The following is a 19,540-nucleotide window of genomic DNA, read 5'->3' as shown; positions in this document are numbered from 1 at the left end:
CAATAGCTCAGTGATCTTAACTAAGGAAATGTCAATGGTATTAAGAGAAAATAATAAAAAAGACAGGTCTTGGTTATTATCTAGAGGTGAGAGTGAGGAAGAGGAAAGAGAAAAATGGAACATTACTTCCAAGTTTCTAACTTAGAATGCCGGCTGGCTAGTGGTGTTTCTAAATAAACTGAGGAGAAGAGGAGTATGAGTCAAGAAAGTTAGAGTCAAGGACATTCACTCTGATAGCCACAATTTTCTCAAGCAACAAGGAGGCAGGGGCATCATCTAAAGAAAATAGGAGAGGGTTTATGTGGGAGAGACGTAGAGAATAGTCAAAGTTTCGAAAAGTCACTAATGAAAACGGAAAAGAAAGCCGGCCAAGGAATAGTCAAAGTTTTTGAGCAGTGTAAAAATCTTAGGTGAGGCCGGGTGCGGTGGCTCACGCCTGTAATCCGGCACTTTGGGAGGCCGACGCGGGTGGATCACGAGGTCAGGAGATCGAGACCATCCTGGCTAACACGGTGAAACCCCGTCTCTACTAAAAATACAACAAATTAGCCAGGCATGGTGGCAGTCGCCTGTAGTCCCAGCTACTCGGGAGGCTGAGGCAGGAGAATGACGTGAACTCGGGAGGCGGAGCTTGCAGTGAGCCGAGATGGCGCCACTGCACTCCAGCCTGGGCGAAAGAGCGAGACACTGCCTCAAACAAACAAACAAAAAACAAACAAAACAAACAAAAAAACTTAGGTGAGCATGAATTTGTGGTAAAATAAATCTGCACAGTTGTGTGAATTTGTAGTGACGTCAATCTGCACTGTCCACTGTATGATTTTCTTCTTTTTCAAACAATGCTCAGCGATGTAGGATCTATCAGTAGAGGCATGGTCTATGGACTGATACAGAATTGCAAGTTTCAGTATCAAGTGCGATGGGAATGTAAGACAATGACGGAGATGAGAGTTCTGTGTTGTAAGTTGTAAGGCATTAACCTTAGGGTCCAGGATGAATAAAGAAAGGAAACCAGAAGGGAAAAGGATAGTCTTTAACAGAATTAAGGTTTAAAAACTACAGGTATCAAGAAAACTGGATTGCAGTTTAATAAAAATGAGAGAATAATAAAGCTGGAAGAACAAGAGGTACTGAGATTAAATATTAGTAGGTGGAGAAATTCTAGATCTGTGTTGTTCAATATGGTAGCCAAGAGCTACATGTGACTATTTACATTTACATTAATTAAAATGTAAATTCTTCTTCAGGGCTAGGCACTGTGGCTCATGCCTGTAATCCCAGCACTTGGGGATACCAAGGTGCGTGGATCACTTGAGGTCAGGAGTTCCAGACCAGCCTGGCCAACATGGTGAAACTCGGTCTCTACTAAAAATACAAAAATTAGCTGGGTATGGTGGCAGGCACCTGTACTCTCAGCTTCTCGGGAGGCTGAGGCAGAAGAACCTCTTGAACCTGGGAGGCAGAGGTCGCAGTGAGCTGAGATCTCACCACCGCACTCCAGACAGGGCAACAGAGCGAGACCCCGTCTCAAACAAGTAAACAAAAAAATTGTTCTTCAGTCACGCTGGACTGCAGTGGCACATTTTCGGCTCACTGCAACCTCTGCCTCTCAGGTTCAGGCAATCCTCCCAGCTCAGCCTCCCAAGTAGCTGGGACTAGAGGCACGTGCCACCACTCCTAGCTAATTTTCACTATATATACACACACACACGTATTATTATTATTTTTTTTTTGAGAGATGGGGTTTTGCCATGTTGCCCAGGCTGATCCTGAACTCCTGGGCTCAAACGATCTGCCCACCTCAGCCTCCCAAAGTGTTGGGATTACAGGTGTGAACCATTTCACCCAGCCACACTAGCCACATTTTAAGTGATCAGTAGACACATATGGCTGGTACTGTCCGTGTCTAATAGAGCAGATAAAACAATGCAGAAAGATCCATTGGAGAGTGTGACTCTAGACAATGCCAGGTTCTAGGAAATGCTCAGGAGTGTGAGTTACTGAATGAAGAACATGGAGACAAAAGCTGTTGGAGAAGAGGCAATCAAGGAGCCAGGAGGGTAGGATATTGGATAGGTTTTCCACAGACATGATGAATTCAGCCAGGATGGTGGCAAAAGTTCTGATGGGGAAGACATGAACTAGACACCCTAGTCCTCAGTGGATGTATTAATAGAAGGTGTGATCAGATAGACGAACACCTACGCTTTGTTTGGAGTAGTAATGTGCTTCCTGGTGATGCATCCTGAACCCTTCATGCCTTACCAGTGTCCCTTGCTCTTGAAACATGCCTGCCTGACTCAATCTAGGCTCTGTCACAGATACCACTTAAACTTCTTCTGGTTCAAAAATCACCTCTTCTAAAATTATATCAAATTGCTTCTGCCAACTCAATACTGTTGGATGGAAGAAGAATCTATTGAATTAATTTTATATGGCCAAGTTGACTAGGTAGCTGAAAATAATGCATCAATGGGCAGAGGTACAGCTCCATATAGAAGATTTACAGAGATTATCTTTACTATCACAAAGCAGTCTTTTAAGGAAGAAAGAACATAGGTAGTTTGATTTGTGTATGTCTGCTGTTTATAAACACATTTGCTATAATATAGGACTTACCCTGAAATTTTTATAATCAATTTAAGAGGAATGAATATCATGTGAAAATGTGGTATAACTAGTTATGTTGGCTATTAATGGCTAAAAATATCACACAAAACAATTTCCAGTGGCATCAGAGCTAGTTGTCACCATCATAACCTCCCTTCCTTTTGAGTTGGCAGCCATAAGCTATGAGCCCACAGTAATCCTTCCCTAGTAACATTAATTCACAAGTCAACAGAAGTTCTCCCGAGTTCTCTATCCCCTGCCCCTCACCCTAGCAATTACTGTTAATACCTTAATGAAGAAAGGTTTACCATTTTGAAAACGTTGTTAACACTTTGTTTGGATAATATGTAACTTAATAATTGTAAGCTGATATAAGCTCTGTCCCTCTCCTTTCCTTTTTGCCATTGCCAATCTCTCTGAACTTTGTCCATTCATGTTAATATCTGCAATTCTATTTCCACTGGCTTTTAAGAACTAAGAAGGAGCTGGATGCTATGCTTCTGTGTTTTATTTTTCAATGAACTATACATTTTTAGTTCTGCTAGGCTGTATAGTTATTTGTGTGTAATAGACTATTCCATAGCAATATGCAGTGGAAAATTCCTTTTGACAAGCCATAGCAAGCTTAATTGAGTCATGACATATACCATTAAACAGCTTCCAGTGGGGCAAACATCCTCTTCCTAAGGTAGCATATGCTTTCCCTGGGTTTCAACATGACAATATGTCCTCACACGACTAAGGAAATGACTCTTTTCATTTGTGAAAAGTTTCAGAAAGGTATGGAGTTAATCTTTGAGTTAACAAATTAAACTTTAAAGAGACATAAGCTCTACCACACTTTCTTCCTCCTTAGATTTAGTATAACCCATTTTTTAAAAAGCTTCGCACTGAATTACAGATCAATTTTAAAATGTCTTCTTTATTGTTTAGTCATTCCCTAATGAGAATCCCACATCTATTATTTTAAAATTTTTATTTTATTTTTATTATCACACAATAACATTAATAGAAACTATTCTGTCAAGATAGTATTTCTGGTTCTCTCCCATTGACTTTGCCTGAAGCCACTCCAAATTCTGACATTACTCTTAATGTTTTCAGGACAGATGGTATTAGAGCTTTCAGCAAAAGTAGTAGATTATCAGCATATATTAGTTAACTTGTGAATCTCCATCTGAATATTCTTCAGATACCCATGGGATCTGTGTGATTTTCTAGCTTCAATGTCAGCCTGAAGAGTAACATCAGAAATGGGCATCATCCTTACTTCCCTCCCCAGTGCAGCAATAAGGCAGGGAAAGGGAGATTGTAAACCATTGATTTAAACCATATAAATGGATTGAAAATAAATTGTGCTATCTGCTTTATTTGTCCCCAAAGCCAAATTTACCTAACACATAATACAAGTAGTCTCATTCAATTGCATCAAAGGACTTTTTGGCATCTAATAAAATTATTGCTATTGGTTCTAATTTTCTCTTTGTATTCCAGATGAGTTGCATTCATCTATGCAGATTATCTGATGCTTATCTCCCAGGCATAAAGGCTTCTTGGATAAGGGTCTATTAGATTTGTGATTATTTGGTCACATAGCCAGGTGTGCAGGTAGCTATTATTTTCTACCTACCCACATTGTATGAAAGAATATTTTTCACAATACTGCTAAGGAAGTAATATGAAATCTTGAGTATAAGGTTATAGGAATATACATAATAAGATAAAGAACTGCAGGACACCTTGATTTCCAACCACAGATAATATCTGATGCTTAAAAAAATTCAGTACAAACCATTTAAATGCATTACATTTATTCAGTCTATTTCTGAAAGTAGTGGCTGTTCAGCGTGTGGACGGCAGGGAGAAGTTAATGTGTTGGTAAGCAACCTAAATTTTTATAAAGCTATTTTGAAAGTAACTCAGTGTCACAGAAAGTAATATCAATTACTCTTTGCTTTACAATTGACACTGCAAGTCTGCTCCAAATTTCCATTCTTCAGCTCAGCATCTGCAAAGAAAAGGAAGGCAGAGAATACCCTCCACTGGAGATTTCTGGGTATCAAAATCACAAGACACACTTCTTTACAATATGGCCTGAAACAGTTCAAAGGTTGTTGTTTTTTTCCCAAGTATTGATTAATCCTTTCATCCCCTGGGAATAGGGTATGACACAAAAGGAGGAAACTGAACAATGGAAAATAGGGGTAAAGTCAGTTAATAATCTTGAGGGTTCAAACAACCTACACTCTGTGAGACAGCATAGTGTTGGGAAAAGGGCCTGGACCTCGGAGCCAGTTTTGATCGCGGCTCTACCCTTTAACTATGAAATATTAAGTAAAATGATTTATAATTAGCCAAAGAGAAGGTGAGGGAAAACATGCATCCTTTTTTACAACTAATAATATATGAGGCCGAGCACAATGGCTCACACCTGTAATCCCAATACTTTGGGAGGCTGAAGTGGGAGGATCACTTGAGGCCAGGGGTTTGAAACCAGCCTGGTGAGGTCACATCTCTACAATAATAATAATAATAATAATTTAAAAATTAGCCAGGCATGGTATTGTGGGCCTGTAGTCCAGGCTACTTAGGAGGCTGAGGCGAAAAGATAACTTGAACCCAGGAAGTCGAGGCTGCAGTGAGCCATGATGACACCACTGCACTCTAGCTGGGTTGGGGACAGTGGGAGGAACTAAATTCCATTTGATTCAAAGTGAAAAAAAAAGGGTTGAATGAAAATGAAACTTTGCTGGCTTTGCAGGACTGGCCTGGCACCTGACCAGGAAAGGTTAAAAAAGGTCAAACAAGGCTCCCACTGTGTGGCTAGGAAGAGGTTTCTGGAGAAATGGATTTGGAGGATTTATCTGGTAATTCTCAATCATTCAGCTGTGGCCAAACTGAAAGCCTGTGAGCTGTACCCCTGACACCCAGAGTGTGGAAGCCCCAGAGGCCGAAGTCCCTTGGAACATTCACGTTCTCCCCTGGGATGGGGATGAGGAGGCCATGCAGAAAGACATGTTCTGAGAAACCAGTGATCTAAGAAAATAACATGTTACAAGACCATGTTTTTTCTAGTTTTAGAACATTTTATATAACTCATAAGTGTTTGTATAAAAATTCACGCAAAGTTGCTAGAGAGCATACAATTTCCAAAAATGTCCTGGGTTTTTGTTATTTTCAGTTTTCTAAGGATGCACTCCAATCAATGGAAAAATGCAGACATTATGCAAGATTTCATTATCTTTGGTAAAAGTATTCTCATTATTTTGTCTCTTCACAGTATTAACTCTGATATCCACTTTGTGCAGGGTCTGCTATTACTAGGATGTCATAAAAATGTTAAAGCTGGATCTACAAGAGGCAAGTATTTCCAAACAGCAGTAATAGCTCCTTGGCCCCCACCCCCACTTCATATATCTATACAGTCTGTCTATACATTGGCTGAACCCTTTACTTACCAGTGTAGCCTTGGCAAACTATAAACAGAACTGAGCTTTGGTTTTCTCATTCACAAAAGGGGGTTATAATACTTATTCCTGAGTTTGTTTTAAGCATCAATAAAGACAACATACACAGTGGGTGTGGTGGCTCACGCCTGTAATCCCAGCACTTTGGGAGGCTGAGGCAGGTGGATGACAAGGTCAGGAGTTCAAGATCAACCTGGCCAAGATGGTGGAACCCCATCTTTACTAAAAATACAAAAAAAATTAGCCAAGCATGGTGGCGGGTGCCTGTGATCTCAGTTACTTGGGAGGCTGAGGCAGAAAACTGCTTGAACCCGGGAGGCAGAGGTTGCAGTGAGCTGAGATCATGCCACTGCACGCCATCCAGCCTGGGCGACAGAGCAAGACTCTGTCTCAAAAAAAAAAAAAAAAAAAAAAAAAGACAACATATATAAACAATTTATAGAATATTCAATGCTCAATATTACCTATTTCATTATAATTATGGTTTATCTTCTCATTAAAAAATAATTTCAGCTTTTTAGATTCAGGGGATACATGAACAGGTGTGTTACATGGGTATACTGGATGATGCTGAGGTTTGGGGTACAGACGATCCCGTCACCCAGGTAGTGAGTGCAGTACCCAATAGGTAGTTTTTCAGCCTACATCCCCCTCCTCCCCTCCCCACTCTAGTAGTCACCAGTGTCTATTGTTCCTTTATGTCCATGTGTACTCGATATTTAGCTCCCATTTGTAAGTGAGAATATGTATTTAGTTTTCTGTTCCTGAATTTGCTTAGGATAAAAGCATCCAGCTGCATCCATGTTGTTGCAAAAGACATTATTTCATTCTTTTTTATCACTGTGTAATATTACACGAGGTATATGTACCACATTTCCTTTATTCAATCAACTGCTGATGGGCGGTTAGGTTGATTCCGTATCTTTACTATTGTAAATATTACTGTGATGAACACACAAGCGTTTATGTCTTTTTTTGTAGGACAATTTATTTTCCTGTGGGTATATACCCACTAATGGGATTGCTAGCTCAAATGGCAATTCTGTTATAAAGTTCTTTGAGAAATCTCCAAACTGCTTTCCATAGAGGCTGAAGTAATTTACATTTCCACCAACAGTTCATAAGCAGTTCCTTTTCTCCACAGCCTCATCAGCGTCTGTTATTTTTTATTTTATTGACTTTTTAATAATAGCCATTCTGACTGGTGTAAAATATTATCTCAGTGTGGTTTTGATTTGCATTTCTCTGATGATTAGTGATGAAGAGCACTTTTTCATATGTTTGTTGGCCATGTGAATGTCTTCTTTTGAGAAATGTCTGTTCATGTCCTTTGCTCAGTTTTTAATAGGGTTATTTGTTTTTTGCTTGCTGATTTAAGTTCCTTATAGATTCTGGATATTAGACCTTTGGCAGATGCATAATTTGCAAATATTTCTCCCATCCTGTAAGTTGTCTGCTACTCTGTTGATAGTTTAGTTTGCTGTGCAGAAGCTCTTCAGTTTAATTAGGTCCCGCTTGTCAATTTCTGCTTTTGGGGCAATTGCTTTTAATAAAATTATATATATATATATATATACACACACACACACACACACACACACACACGTGCATCCATTTTTCAGTAATCATAGGAAAGTAAATTCAATAGCATACCAAGTATTCAGATTAAGCTTCATCGCATTATACTGGGAAAATACCGACATTTAACAAAGTACAGTGTGCAGATTTACTCTGTGATTAACCTACATAAAAGAAACCTATTTTTAAAACCTATAGTGTCTGAAGATAAAAAAAACAAACTAATAATGATAACTTAAAAAAGAAAACATCTTTTCCACCATCATTATTCTTCTGTATTTACCCATATACTTGATTTGGTCCAACAGTTCTAGCGTTACTTTATTTTTATTTAATTACTATTATTATTATTTTTTTGCTACGGGGTTTCACTCTTGTCGCCCAGGCTGGAGTGCAATGGCGAGATCTTGGCTAACTGCAACCTCTGCCTCCTGGGTTCAAGTGATTCTCCTGCCTCAGCCTCCTAAGTAGCTGGGATTGCTGGTGCCAGCCACCATGCCTGTCTAATTTTTTTGCATTTTTAGTAGAGTCGGGGTTTTACCATGTTGGGCAGGCTAGTCTCGAACTTCTGACCTCAGGAGATGCCCCCTGCCTCGGCCTGACAAAGTGCTGGGATTACAGGCATAAGCCACCGTGCCTGGACTTTAGCTTTACTTTAAACATATCAATTGGACATAAAGGAAAACAAATGATTAACAGACTGAAGGTACAGAAAAAAAAATTCTTCCTAAGACTTCCTGATGATATAAACCGGGTTACATATGCTTGCAAAACAAAAAATATTAATAAGCAAATAGTCTCTAGTTTAAAGGCACAGAACATAATGAACAATTCAAAAGTATTCAGCTTTAGCAGAATTTTGTATTTCTATAATCAGATAAAGTTGTTTTTTTTTAAAGGCTATTTTCCAAAGAGATGCTATTTTTTGAGATGTGCTGCATAATTTTTCTTAATAGTTGGAAAAATATGTTTGTACTCTAAGTGAAGTAATTTCTGGAGAAAAAGTGTGATGCTGACTGAAGCTAAAACCCTAAGTACATAAGAAGAAATGTATACAGTATTCCCAGGATTTATGTAAACATGGAGAGCCACTTAGTAAATGGCACTGGGTTCTGGTAATCACACAGTCCACTCTCATTAGGCATCTCCCTCTTGTGCATTAATATGTGGCATCATATTCTCAGAGAACATTTTATAACAAAGTGAAATAAAAAGCCCCTCCAGATTGTGAATGTAAGATAATCAGATTCTGTAGTGCTCATTATGACTGCAATTATGTAACAAAACTCTCCAAATATAGTTCAGTGATTGCAGTTATTAATCATTCCGGTTTTGTCTCAAGTACTTGCTTTATAGCCTGCTGGATAGACTCCATAATTCTATAAGCTGAATGTCGAAAGTCAAACATGTGCATGTGAATCTGCTGTTCTAAAGGCCTTTCAATATAATTTACCCTTTCAATTTGTATTTGTGAATGCAAAAAAAGTGGGGGAAATAAAGCTGGTGTCAGTAGAGTCACTGACCTTTGCAGTAAACATAATATAGTCTTTAACAGAAAACAACATTGCAAATAAAAAAACTATTTTGCCAGAACTAGAAATAGTGCTGCTTAAAAAGTTAGTCTCAGAATACCAATCAGTTCTGAGACAATCAGTTACAAAAGTTGGGGGGAAAAAAAAACCTTGAACAAATTTGTACATTTGATAAGCGGGAAAATGGTCGGAGCGCTGGAAAATGTGAATTTTTGAAGGTTCAAAGCACTATCATAGAAAGAATACAGAACTAAACACGTTATGCATAAAACCACATATTCTAATTAATTTAACTATAAAATGCCAAGCAAAGACAGCAGATTTATAATATAGAACAAACACCATCTGCACCACCTTAAATCATTGTTACAGATATATTTCTAGGAAAAAAATACACCTGAACAATTCTCAAGCCTAGATTCTAAGATGCTAAAGTATTAACTAAATAGGATTCCAAACAGACCCAGAGAAAGTTACTGCATAATTATTTAAATATTAACATGTACTGAGTTCAGAAATATAAATATAATAACACATAAACACAGTTTACAAATTCATGTCACCATTTTCCTGTGCTCCATGATTTCTTCAATTTGGCTACATACATTGGGCCCCAGGCTTTGCCCTTATCTGGAATCACTAAGAGCCCACATTCCTGGCCAGTGGGAGCAAATGTGAAGTCGTGGGAGCAAGTCCTTGCTATTCCTTTAATGTCCATAGGCATGATGTTACCGTGGGAGTTTAAAATTTCACTGATCACATCTTGATTTTCTGCCTTGGAAAGCGTGCATGTAGAGTATACAAGTATCCCTCCAGGACGTAAGGCCTTAATTGCAGACCTGTGTGCAATCAGAAAAATGCAAAAGATTAGTTAAGTATATTAAAAAGAAACCAGGGGGTCTGACAGCAAAGATTACGTACTTAAAACTAACCTTACTCTGACTTAGACTGCAATTACTTTGGATGTTTTCTAGTCTTTTTTTTTTTTTTGAGACAGAGTCTAACTTTGTCACCCAGGCTGGAGTGCAGTGATGCCATCTCGGCTCACTGCGATGACTGCCTCCCAGGTTCAAGTAATTCTCCTGCCTCAGCCTCCCAAGTAGCTGGGATTACAGGCGGCCTCCACCATGCCCAGCTAATTTTTGTATTTTTAGTAGAGACGGGGTTTCACCAAGTTGGTCAGGCTGGTCTTGAACTCCTGATCTCAAGTGATCGCCTGCTTTAGCCTCCCAAAGTGTTGGGATTACAGGCGTGAGCCACTGTGCCCAATCTCTGATCTTACACCTATTTCTTTCTAACTTATCCTTGAAGACTTGGAAAATGATAATCAGACCAATCAACATGGAAAAGATAGAGTAAGTTAGACTGGTTGATTGCTATTCAAAAAGTAGGAAAATAGGGGTAGAGAACAGAATAATGAGTTTGTCTTTAAATCGATGGGAGTAAAAATAAAAACAAAGCATACATATGAAAGCATACATAAGAAGTCATTGATTCCATACTTCCAATATTGCAATTTGGGCAACCAGGTAAAAAGTTGGAAGGTTTTTATCTAAGAAAATTGAATAAACTATTTGTGAAGACTTCTAAGGCAGCCACTATGGGTTTTAGACCCCAAATCAAAGATCTCTGCATTCTACCATGAAGAGAGCCTCCAGAGTAACAGTCAGCTCTTCAGAAAGTTGTATCACCAGATAAAAGGTCTCGTCCTTAAAATACACCTCTAGTACTTTTATTGTCTCATTATTAAATAAAAATGTATAACCAAGGATTGCTAGATAATTAAAGATCAGAAATGCTTAAGCAATATGTAAGAGAAAGAACAAAATAAACAATAATGACACAGGAAGAAACAGAAAATTCAGGGAACAAAAGAGAAATATGATCTATTAAATGCAGACAGATCAGCAAAGATACAATATCCATAACAGAATGCCATGAAAAAGGATCAAGAAGAGAGTTCTTAGAAACTAAATATATGGTTACCAAAATAAAGAATATTCTGTAGAAGTATTTGGAAGTTAAGGTTGAAGAAATCTCTCCACAAAAAGTACAACAGTAACAGACTGACTGAAAATGAGACAAGGTGGATCAATTACATAGGTTCAAAATCCAATTAATAGGAGTACTAGAAAGATAAGACACTCATTATTATTTATTGAGCCTCTATTATATGCTGAGCATTGTTCTAGGTGGTAAGTATATCTCAACAGACAGAACAACAACAAAAAAATCTTTCACCTCATGAAGCTTACATTCTAGCTGGGGGACATAGAATATAACAAATTAAATATGTTTTGAATTAAACTGTGTCCCTGCAAAATTCCTTTGTTGAAGTCCTAACCCATAGTGCCTTAGAAGGTGACTGTATTTACAGACAGGGTCCATAAAGAAGTAATTAAGTTAAAAGTAGTTCATTAAAGTGGGCCCTAATGGAATATGACTGGGATCCTTCAAGAAGAGGACATTTGGTCACAGAATTACAGGGGAGGACCATATAAAGAAGACGCAGGGAGAAGACAGCTATCTACCAGCCATGAAGAAGGACCTCAGACAAAACAAATCTTGCTGATGCCTTCATCTCAAACTTCTGGCATCCAAAACTGTGATTAAATAAACTTCTAGGCAGGTGCGGTGGCTCACGCCTGTAATCCTAGCACTTTGGGAGACCGAGGCAGATGGATCACCTGAGGTCAGGAGTTCGAGACCAGCATGGACCACATGGGGAAACCAGCCAGGTGCGGTGGTGGATGCCTGTAATCCCAGCTACTTGGGACGATGAGGTAGGAGAATCACTTGAACCCAGGAGGCAGAGGTTACAGTGAGCCAAGATCACACCACTTCACTCCAGCCTGGGTGAAAGAGTGAGACTCCATCTCAAAAAAAAAAAAAAAAAAAAAAGAAATAAAATAATAAAATAGAAAATAAACTTCTATTGTTTAAGCCACACAGTCTTGTTATTTTGTTATGGCAACTCTAGCAAACTAATATAAATATATACACACATACATAAACATACACATATACAAAGATAAACATATATACATATACACATATACATACATACATATATGTACAGGTTTGCACATTTTTTTATTTAGTATGCAATTTAGTGATAGATAACTATGAAGAAAATAAAAGCAGGATAAAAGGATTAGGAGTGCTTGGATGAGAGGGATTATAATTTTAAATGGGACAGTTAGAACAGTTTGCCATTTCAGAAAGTGACATTTGAACAAAGTTCTGAGGAGGTAAGGGAGTGAGCCAAGCAGATATCTGAGAGAAGAGCATTCCATACCAAAGGAATAGCCAGTGACAAGACCTTGAGGCATGTTCAAGGAAAGCGGAGGTCAGTGTGGCTGGAGCAAGGTGAGCCAGGGGTGGTAATCTGAGACGAGGTGACAGAGTTAAGAGGAGGGGGTGGAGAGGGTCTTGATGAAAACTGTCAAAACTTCACCCTTATAATGAATAAAAAACACCCACACTTAGATCCATCATTGTTAAATTTTTGAACTTCAAGAACAAAGAGGTGTTTAATGCCTCCAAAGAGAAAAACAGGTCACCTATTACGAGCCCAGGAATCAGACTGGTATCAGTGGAGAAATACATTCCAAATCCTAGGAAAAAGCAATTTAAAGTGAATTCTATTTGCAGCCAACTCATAAAATAAATATGTAGCAAGAATCCAGAAACTTGCAGATATCTCATGACTCCGAAATTTTAATTCTAGTAAAATGAGGAAATAAAGCAAGAAAGAGGAAAAATGTAATTCAGAAAAGAGTGCATGCAACATAGAAGAGCAGTGAAAGGAGTGAAGCCTCAGAGTGAGAGCTGCGTGGGAGGCCTGGAAGGCAACTACTGCAGTCTGGAAAAAGAGGGAGCTCTCCAGAAGGAAGGGAGAAGGGAGAGAAGTAAAAGAGATGAAATGACTGAAAACTGAGAAAAACTTGAAGATTTGGTATACATAATTGGGAGGGAAAGGGAGAGATCAACTTGTCTCATCTATCTGATTCTAGAAAAAATGTTTCAGTGGTATTCTGCTCATGAGATTGAACCAAGAGACAAGGAATTTTAATTCTAACATATTATTCCATTATGCAGTGGACAATATTTATAGAATTAAACAATATACACCACTTATGGGTCTTCAATGTTCAGAATTACTCCAAAGACCAAACTTACTATTGTTACAGAACAGATTTTAAGGTCTCAGAAAGAATATGATCAACCTTGACAACATGAAAGTACAGCTGTAAGATACTGGGAAGTAGAAGGGAGAGAGAAATGGAAGGCAGGGTGGGCGTGTAAGTGTTCTTATTTTATAAAAATAAAAGGCAAAAGACATTTGCCTCTAATTATTTTTTTAAAAGAATAAAGATAAATGAAGAAAAAAAGACAAAAAAGGTGTGATGTGTATTTAAGAGAACTTTCCCCCACTAATAGAATAAGAAATGTAGGTCTAAGTGTATGGTACTAAGTTTCAGAGCCGACAGAGAGAAACTGAGTACAGTGTGAGATTGCAGGGTGCAGGGTAGTGTGATGAGGGAAGGGTGGTGTAAGTGACATAAATCCTTGGGATAGGGCAGTAGTTAATGTCTAATTTTTTGACAATTTTAGAAAATGAATAAACGTATTATTTAGAGATTTGGGGGTGACCTGAAGAATGAATTAGGAACCAAAATCATTAGAAGCAATTGCCTCTGAGGACTAAGACTGGAGGAAGAGAGGAAGAGTTGCAGGGGAGCAATCCTTTTCACTAGGAGCTCATTTGTAGTTTAATTTTTTACCCATCTGATTTATTTCTGTAATACAAATTAAAGGGGAGATTTGACAAAAGAATAAATATCAGAGCTTTTGCCATGGAGGTCACTTAAATTGTTTTTTTTTTTTTTTTTTTTAGGTGGGGGGATGAGTCTTGCTCTTGTTGCCAAGACTGGAGTGCAGTGGTGCAATCCTGGCTCACTGCAACCTCCACCTCTCCAGTTCAAGCAATTCTCCTGCCTCAGCCTCCTGAGTAGCTGGGATTACAGGCACCTGCCACCACGCCTGGCTAATTTTTGTACTTTTAGTAGAGACGGGGTTTCACCATGTTGGCCAGGCTGGTCTCAAACTCCTGACCTCAGGTGATCCGCCCGCCTTGGCCTCCCAAAGTGCTGGGACTACAGGCATGAGCCACCACGCCTGGCCAGTTATATGTATTTTTAAAAATTTTGACTGTTAAGGGATAACCTCTCTAGAAAAGGTATTCCCTGAGGTTCCAGATAACTAAAATTTTATGGTATCCAGGATTTCTATACATCTCATGTATTCATTTATTGATTAAAGAGATATTTTGGGGGTTCCTACCACTGAGGGTCTTCTCATACTTCGGTGTTTGTTGTTAGTCTCTAAAAAAACTTTTTCTATGTTTCCTCTCCTCACTATTCACTGCCCTCTAAATATTCCCCATGGAAACAAAAAAGGCTCCTATCTAGATGCTGGAGATGTGAACTGCTAAAGGGATAATAAATATCCTGCGGTAGGAAGAATGAAAACCCCTCAAAGATGTCCACATCCTAATCCCCAGAACCTGTAAGCAAGCCATTTTACATGGGAAAAGGCTATGTGCAGATGTGACTAAATTAAGGATCCTGCAATGGGGAGATTATCCTGGATTATCCGAGTGGGCCTGATGTAATCACAAAGGTCCTTTATCATTGAAAGAGGGAGGCAGAGAGTTGGTGAAGATGTGATGATGGAAGCCTGGGTTGAACTGACAGGATTGCTGGCCTAGGGCAAAGAGCTCAGGTATGTGAGCTGCTTCTGAAGGCTGGAAAAGGTAAGCAAACAGATTTTCCCTTAGCACCTCCAGGAGGAACACATCTCTGCCAGCATCTTGATATTAGTCCCACAGGGCTCATTTTGGACTTCTGACCTCCAGAAGCGCAAAGGTAACAAATCTGTGCTATTTAAAGCCACTAAATTTGTGGCAAATTGTTAACAGCAGCAATAGGAAACAACTAATACACATCTAATGATGGCGTTTTTTGTTTTCTCTTTTTTTGTTTTTACAGCAACACACTAAGGTAAAGGCCAATTTGCTAAGTAAAGTTGTAACTACATTCATTTTGGATCATTTTCTACTAACTATAGCAATAGGTATAAGACTTTCTTTAAAAATGTTAGATTATTAAAATGGTATAGCCACTATGGAAAACAATATGACGGCTCCTCAGAAACTTAAAAATCAAGTTATTATGTGCTCCAGCAATTCCACTTCTGGTCATATTCCCCAAACAATTGAAAGCAGGGTCTTAAAGAGATATTTGTACCCATGTTCATAGTAGCATTATTCACAATGGCCAAAAGATAGAAGCAACCCAAGTGTCCATCAGTGGATGAACTGCCAAGCAAAATGTGTAGACAGATACATAGATATGATGAAATATTATTCAGCATCAAGAAGGAAGAAAACTCTGACAGATGCTATAACATGGATTAACCCTGAGAACATTATGCTAAGTGAAATAAGCCAGTCACAAAAAAGAAATATCACATGATTCCACTTATATGAGGCATCTAGAATAGTCAAATTCATAGAGACAGAAAGTAGAATGGTGGTTGCCAGGGGCTAAGAAGTGAAGGGAATGAAGAGTTAGTGCTTAATGGATATCGACTTTCAGTTTTGAAAGATGAAAAGAGTTCTGGAGATTGGTAGTACAACAATGTGAATGTACTTAACACTATTGAACTGTACACTTAAAAATGGTTAAGATAGCAAATTTTATGTTATGTATTTTTAAACAATTAAAAATAGAGAAATACACAATAAAAATGTTAGATTATTGTGGATATAGGCAATATTTGAATTCAGATACTTCCAACCTCCCATGAAAATGACTATTTTGGTCTTAGTTCCACAATTAGCAAAGCCAATGCTTAATCAAGTAAGTATGATTCTTTTTCATTAAAGCTGTACAAAAGTACATAGAAGCCTCATAATTTACAAACAATATGTTCCTGGCTTAATGCAAATTTAAATTAATTTCTATAATGTTGCCAATGTTGGCTGATTCTTCTGCTTACCTTTCATTTCGACATTCATAATTTATCTTTCTAAAATTAGGCAGGTATAACTTAACTGCCCACATTAATTTCTAAATGAGAAAATTGTATGTGGTAACACAAAGCCTTTTTAAAACAAATTGGGTTAATCTCAAAACCATAAGGCAAATGTTAGGGATTCCTGTCAAATGGTCTTGCTGTTTTGCTACTGCTGCATGTTGTTTAAATATCATTTTAATCCTTTTGCTTTCAGTAGTTATGTATTTTAAAACTATCAGAAATTTGTATTCAAAGATAAAGGAAGGCAGGCAATTTGTAAAAACTCACTCCTAGGGTTTATAGCTAAGATTTTTCTACTCTGAGAATTATCTTATGCTATAGATCAGAGGACCCCAATCCCTGGGCCTACAGACCAGTACCAGTCTGTGACCTATTAGGAACCCAGCTGCACAGCAGGAGTTGAGTGGTGGGTGAGCAGGCATTACCACCTGAGCTCCGGAATCTAACTAATGCCTGATGATCTGAGGTGGAACAGTTTAATCCTGAAACCATCTCCCTGTCCCCCTCCCCCAGAGCCATAAATGCCATTTTTCTTACGAACTGAACCAGACCATGTTGTGGCCTCCCACTGCTTTTGCAGAAAGTATAAAACTATCTCTATAATTACAATTTATCATTACACACTATAGTTTCTGTTAAGGCAAGAACATACAACAACTCTATAATCAGACAAGTTCAATGATTTAAAAACCAGTATTTCTGGTCTTTGTTTTCCAATCAAAATTAAAAGATGTATTTTACAATATACTAAGCAAAAATTAGCACACTACTAAAATCTAAGTACCTAAATATACAGGGCCCTGTCCATTACAATAATGTCTGGGATAAATCATCTGCTTCCATAACAATTTATACACATTTTGAAGTAGTGTACAAGAAACAAGAAATTATTATCACAGGTTTCATCCAAATCACAAACAGAGGACTGTATATGTATTTTTACAACAGTTAGATGGCAGGATGTGAGAAGGGTTGTTTGGGGGAGCAAAATGATTCACTCAAAACAAAAGAAAGATATTGCTTAATAGGTCTTAACAAGCCCACTAAGAAATTTTAAATTCTGGAGGTGGCAAAACATTTAGAGATTAGAAAGACTTGAATAATACTAATAAACTTTGGCAAAGCTGTGGTACTGACCACATAAAAAGACAAGTCAGGATTAGAGAACGAAGAAGAAAAAAAAAGACAGGTTGGGTTCTCTATGCTTGTGTAAATGTCTGTGCCATTTAGTTATTTATTATTTTTTTTTTTAAATAAGAGGAAGGAAAACTAAACAGCCAGCCAAGCAACATCCATTTCTGCATAATAGTATAGTATCCTCTATTAACCTGTCCAAATGAGCTATGGCCCCTTGGCTCCTGAATGATCCTGTGTCATGGTTTAACAAGATCCTGAGTAATGTCGTATTTGTGCTAACCACTAACTATAATGCATGAAATTATCACTAACCAAGCTGTATTAAGACTGGTATTATTCATCATTGAATTCTAATGATAACAGTAAACTTTCTAATCATACTTAAAAGTAGAAGTCAGAAAAATGTCATGACTAACAACAGTAGAAGCAAAAGTATTATTTGATCAGATTAAGTACAATGCTAACCTAATACTCTAAAATGGAAACTAGTAAACATTATCTTGGGTTTTACATATTCTTTAATATAAAATGCCCAATTATAATGCAAAGCTAGGGAAGTACTTTTTAAAAAATTGATATATCATAATTGTAGATAATCTGAAGGTATATGTTTTATTTTGATACATGTTTACAATGTAGAATGATCAAATCGGGTAATTAGGAAATCCATCACCACAAACAATTATCTTTTCTTTATCTTGGGAGCATTACAATTCTTCTCTTCTAGCTACTTTGAAATATACAATAAATTATTGTTAACTACAATTTCCTTCCTGTACCATCAAATCCTAGAATTTATACCTTCTATCTAACTGTATTTTTGTACCCATTAAACAACTTCTCTTCATTGGAGGAAGTACTTCTAAAGGAAGCAGAATTGCGACATAATATAATCCCTCTATCATTTCTCCGAAACACACATATTCCCTTCAGAAGCCTCCTATAAAAGTGCTGATCAGGTTTAAACCCTACTTGAAATATGAGGTAAGATTCTCTCTCACAACACTGCTGTAGGAAACAAAGTTGATCTTGATTAATTTTATAGCATATAATACAATGGCCTACTGCATAATGAAGGTAAGAAAAAAAGAAAAAATATATAGTAGAAAATGATTTTACCCCAAGTACTCCTAAAAGAGAAAGAAAGATGCCCTTCTTGCCATGGAATGTATACCAGATAACCTGTTACTATATGGCAGATATCAGGTATACAACTTTCCCCAAATCTTTGCTTGTCTTTCAGTGTATCATGGAACAGGCTGAAATGCATTTTGTGTTTGAACCACCTAGTTAATGAAGCTGCTAAAAACAAAACAATACACAGTTTTTAAAAAGAAACCATTAAATAGAATATAATGTTAAATTTCCCTCATTTGCAAACAGAAAATCCTCAATAGATTTTTGACAGTTCACAGAATACAACCAAGTGGTACTTCAGGTCTATCTCATACTCTGTCGTGAAATCCAAAAAGCTCTGTAACCTACAGGTTTTTAAAAATTAAGTTGTGAGGCCGGGCGTGGTGACTCACGTCTGTAATCCCAGCACTTTGGGAGGCCAAAGGGGACAGATCACTTGTGGTCAGGAGTTCAAGACCAGCCTGGCCAACATGGTGAAAACTCGTCTCTACCAAAAATATGAGAAATTAGCCGAGTGTGGTGGCGTGCGCCTATAACCCCAGCCACTGGGGAGGCTAAGACAGGAGAATCACTTGAACCCAGGAGGTGGAGGTTGCAGTGAGCCGAGATCATACCACTGCACTCCAGCATAGATGATAGAGCGAGATTCTGTCTCCCAAAAAAAAAAAAAAAAAAAAAAAAAAAAAGTTGTGGCAGATTCACTTGGCTTAAAAATCTGACCTAAACTCATGTAAGGCTATTTATGGCCAAGACTTATCTCATGTGGTATAACTATTCATATGTCTTGCTGAAAAAATGTTTATATGTTTGATTATGGAGTATTGTTCCAGACCCTCCTGTAGAAAGGAGGTTAGACCATGTATTAAGTATGTACTATATTAACTCTTTAACAAATCCAAACAAATTCTGAATTCTGAAACACATCTGCCATTAAATAAGATTTTCTCCTTGTATTTTAGATCCAAATGAATTATA

At 37.8% G+C, this 19,540-nt stretch overlaps 1 protein-coding gene across 1 annotated transcript in view, besides 1 other annotated feature; it reads right to left on the bottom strand.

Moving 5' to 3' along the window:
• Positions 1 to 4,404: 4,404 nt before the first annotated feature.
• The window catches only part of NSUN3 (NOP2/Sun RNA methyltransferase 3), a 68,772-nt gene continuing 53,636 nt past the window's right edge, over positions 4,405 to 19,540 (bottom strand). The window contains exon 6 of the mRNA NM_022072.5: positions 4,405 to 10,026. Coding sequence (NP_071355.1) covers positions 9,747 to 10,026 — 280 coding nt within the window. The 3' untranslated portion in view covers positions 4,405 to 9,746. The remainder of the gene's footprint in view (positions 10,027 to 19,540) is intronic.
• Positions 5,379 to 5,468: an enhancer, noted in NCBI's record as "active region_20125". NCBI's record gives its function as "activates an Ori minimal core promoter by ATAC-STARR-seq in GM12878 lymphoblastoid cells {active_cell/tissue: GM12878}" and the evidence as "EXISTENCE:reporter gene assay evidence [ECO:0000049][PMID:35858748]".

This window comes from Homo sapiens, chromosome 3, assembly GCF_000001405.40.
Source record: "Homo sapiens chromosome 3, GRCh38.p14 Primary Assembly".
In the NCBI taxonomy this organism is placed as follows: Eukaryota; Metazoa; Chordata; class Mammalia; order Primates; family Hominidae; genus Homo; species Homo sapiens.
Note: the sequence above shows the minus strand (reverse complement) of the source record. Positions and strands in the feature narration are given on the sequence as shown.